The sequence below is a fragment of the Homo sapiens genome, chromosome 2, assembly GCF_000001405.40.
Source record: "Homo sapiens chromosome 2, GRCh38.p14 Primary Assembly".
Classification (NCBI taxonomy): domain Eukaryota; kingdom Metazoa; phylum Chordata; class Mammalia; order Primates; family Hominidae; genus Homo; species Homo sapiens.
In genome coordinates, this window is record NC_000002.12 from 133,817,740 (window position 1) to 133,821,932 (window position 4,193).

General features: G+C 41.4%; 1 annotated feature.

The window, feature by feature from the left end:
- Positions 285-1,484: an enhancer, noted in NCBI's record as "CDK7 strongly-dependent group 2 enhancer chr2:134575595-134576794 (GRCh37/hg19 assembly coordinates)". NCBI's record gives its function as "activates an origin of replication core promoter dependent on BRD2, BRD4, P300/CBP, MED14 and CDK7 cofactors, with strong dependence on CDK7, by STARR-seq in HCT116 cells {active_cell/tissue: HCT116}" and the evidence as "EXISTENCE:reporter gene assay evidence [ECO:0000049][PMID:35650434]".

Sequence of the window (4,193 nt, forward strand, 5' to 3'; positions counted from 1 at the left end):
GTACAAACACAGTTCCACAGAAGAAATAAGTTCTAATATTTGATAGCAGAGTAAGGTGAGTATAGTTAACAATGTATTATATCTTTCAAAGCAGCTAGAAGAGAGGGCTTATTGTTACCAACACAAAGAAAGGATAAATACTTGAGATGACGGATACCCTGAGTCTCCTGACTTGATCATTACACATTCTATGGGTGTAACAAAATATCACGTATACCCCATAAATCTGTACAAATATTATGTGTCAATAAGAAAATTTTAAAGAAAGCCAAATTAATGACAGAAACTCATTCATCTTGCCTAAAAATGTATAATCAACCCCTGAGGATCCTTTATCTTCATTTTCTTCTCCTAAGTGTAGCTCATAAATCAATGATCTGCCATGATACATTCTTTTCCAGTTATTATCCAGTGATGTAATTTGTGCACTGAAGCAAAAACTGTTGTCTGTGTAGATTCTCTTGCACTTAAGTCACTGCCTCTCTGATAGCAGGCTGACCACTAAAATAGAAATGTTTATCTAGGAAGGGAGTAAAAGTTTACCAGTTAATTCAACATTGAGTAGATCTGGTAGAAATGAATTCCACAGGAAATTACACCTCCCTTGCTAGACAGGCCTTTCCGTGCCTGGTTACCATGCAGGATATGTTTCTGGCATGACTCAGAGTGGGTCCGTTTTGCACAATCGCAAAGAAGGGACCTTTATCTCTCTCATCTCTGCTGACCCTCAACGCTCATTGCCACTTCAAAAAACAGGCGTGGGCACCGTGCTCTGCGTGCATGATGACATATCTGCAATTCACCTGCATCCTCACCTTGACCTTGGCAACAGGATTAGGTGGTTGAGGTGAAGATTAATGAGACAATTATTTTTACAAGGAATATAAACAGCCTGGCTCTGCTGGGTTAACAGCATCCACAACATTCGTTGCTCCTAAGCATTAAGATTTTGCTCCTTGAATTCTGAGCAGTGGAAAGTCAATGTGAAGTATTATTTGATGTAATAACTTATGACAGAAAAAAGTAAATGAAGATAAGGATTGATATCGTTAGAACAAATGCTATTAACATTACAGTCTCTTGAAAAATAGAAGGGTAGAGTGGGAAAACCTCAGAACAAGGCCTTAGCTCTGATGTTCATACAAACCGTTTAAACACTCAAAGCCTCAGTTTCTTCATCTGTAAAATGGAAATATTCATTAAAAAGAAAGAAAATTGGTATTTAACATAAGAACCAGCTGCAGCCACTTTTATATAATTTAGAATTCAAATCTGGAGAGATCTCTTTTTGTATAAAATACCTCAATGAACTTCTTTGAGAATAAAAGGTAAAAACTTCCAGAGCATGGTATGGAAAGGGAAGCATTAAAAAAATTAAAAAGTGGGGAGAAAGGAATCATTTTGCACATCAATGTGAAAAATAAAATTAAGCCCCAAAGAAAGGGGTTGAGAATCATCAGAAGTGAGAGAAAGGAAAAACACAGACCAGATAGGCAGCAAGAAGGCCCTCACAACATGGCAGCAGGTAGATAAGAAATTCCCCACGGAGAAAACTGCTCAGTAGATTTCTATGAACAAGAACATCTGAATGGAATTGGAAGTGGTTTTCTGCCTGTGGTGTAATTACCTTCTATTTTCCCCAAAATATCAATAAAGTCTGCAACACACAACAGGTATGAGAGATGAATTGTCACGATGAAGAAAGGCTGCTGATGGGACAACAGGTAGGAGAGGCTCAAGCAATTCTGAGGACCGGGCAGTATCTTGGGAGCAGATGACAGTAGCATAGGCTGGTGAGGGGCTGTAAGCCTCCTTGAGGAGCCCAAAACGGAATTTGTCACCCCTCCATCCCCAGCGCCAAGCTTGTCTCCATTGGAAATTCACGGAACCACTGGGTGGACCTGCCTGCAACATACAGAAGGGAGACAGGAACCCTCTGATTTGGATATCCCAGTGGAAGGTGACACCACAAGTCTGGAGGGTCTGTGCACATCTCGGTCTCGTGGCTGTGCTGACCAACTTGCTGAGAAAGATATTCCCTTGCACAGTCTCCCAACCCCCTTTCAGGTGCAAGGGAATGGGCCTTGGGCCCAGCATACTTTCTTACCAAGAGGTAGAGTCCTCACAGCCTGAGCTGGGCTTGACGGAATATCTTTCCCTGTTTCAGACTCAATGCGTACCCCTTTGTTCTGCACAAGCATGTACATTATATGGCACCTGGCCAACCCCACTGCTATTTCTGTCCCCTTGGGCAGGGAATGGATGCTTCTGCTGCAGCACAAGATGAGTGCACACAGGCCAATGGGCCTTCATGGGCTGCTGGAGGGCCCCACTCACCATGGGGGACTGACGCCCTCTATTGAAGCTGCTCTTTATCTCTTCTCTATATGAGCAAAACATGTTCCATCCAGGGCTTGACTGCATTGTGTTTTCCTTGGCAACTCCAATACCGAGACACTGGAGGAAGAGTTCAGACTCCCATCCTGATAACAGGCAACAGATGCTACTCGATTGACACACCTTAGAGAGATGCACTGGGGACCACATAAAATAACAGATGTGGAAGTAATTAGCAAACTTTACAATAACATACAAAGTAAGGCACTCATGGAATAACAAGTGGATCTTTACATCTCAGGCTATAACCTACTCCTTCCCAGCAAATGTAAAGCAAGATTTGTAGCTCACTGGAGTTCATTTTAAAGAGCTATAGTAAGTTATATCTTACAGTTGTTACGATATTCAAACAACTTTACATGTGGCTTTCAACATATCCTATTAATCAAATAATCAGTGAGGATTTGTTATTATGTAACTGATATTATGGAGGGATTAATACATAAAAAGTATTAATACGTGGTCACTGAACACAGAGAAGTAAATCGACAGAAACTAAGAGGACAGAAAAAGAGTCTATGAAATCTGCTTTCCAAGCCCAACTCTAGCACAAACTAACCATAACCCTGAACAATCACTTAGCCTCTTTGGGCTACTTGTTTCAGCCATAAAATAATACATATGTTCACTCCATCCTATCTTCCTCAAAGCACTGTTAGAAGGAGAGAAATAATACACATGAAAACTCTTTAAAAACTCTGAAATACTCTGTAAAATAAGGCATCACTATCGCTATGAAGACTTTCTTTTGAAAAGAGTCTCGCTCTGTTGCCCAGGCTAGAGTGCAGTGGCACAATCTCGACTCACTGCAACCTCTGTCTCCTGGATTCAAGCGATTCTCCTGCCTCAGTCTCCCGTAGTAGATGGGATTACAGGCACCTGCCACCACGCCCAGCTAATATTTGTATTTTTAGTAGAGACGGGGTTGCACTATGTTGGCCAGGCTGGTCTCGAACTCCTGACCTCAAGCGATCCTCCTGCCTCAACCTCCCAAAGTGTTGGGATTACAGGCATAAGCCACTGCACCCAGCCGAAGACTTTCTTGAGTTTCATTTCTTTGCTGTTTTGTATGTTTGGTGTTAGGTGAACTCCACATCTCATCTGCATAAAATGTCTAGTCTCTTTAAAAATGCTCAGTGAATAAATCATTCACCCAGCATCTTCCAAGTGGGCTGGTTCTGCTTCCCTCCCATATGCTGGAGAACAGAAGGGCAGAGAGCAGCCTGGAGGGAGAAGTGATTCAGCTCAGGATCGCTCTGATTGTTTTTATGTGGGTAAGAAGTGGAACAGAATACAAAATACTGGAAAATATAACTGCACATGGGTTAGCATAGTGAGATTGCAGGGGTCTTCAATGTCTTTTTTATATCTTCAATGTCTCCTTTTTTATAGTTGTAATGCTCTTGTGCAATAAATAAATGCTCTTGTGCAATAAATAAGAATAAAAACCTTTATATATCCTTTGCAACACTTTGCAATTCACAGAGCATTTTCACATATGCCACTTGATTCTTACTACTGCTCCAGAAAGAGGGCACTGTTATTGACCCCATTTTATAGCTATGGAAACCGAGGCTTGGAGAGATAACACCAGCTCCAGGATCAATACATTCTTTGCATTACTGGCTCTACCTCCCAGATGAAAAGGAGATGCTGCTGTAGGAAAAACTAATAGGAGGAGGATGATTAAGCAAAAGGTTCCTCAGAAGATTGTTCTAGAAAGAACCAAATGAGGCTATGACTGAAGACATGACTGCTTCAGTCTCTGAAAGCAGAGAGACTAAGATTGCACTGAT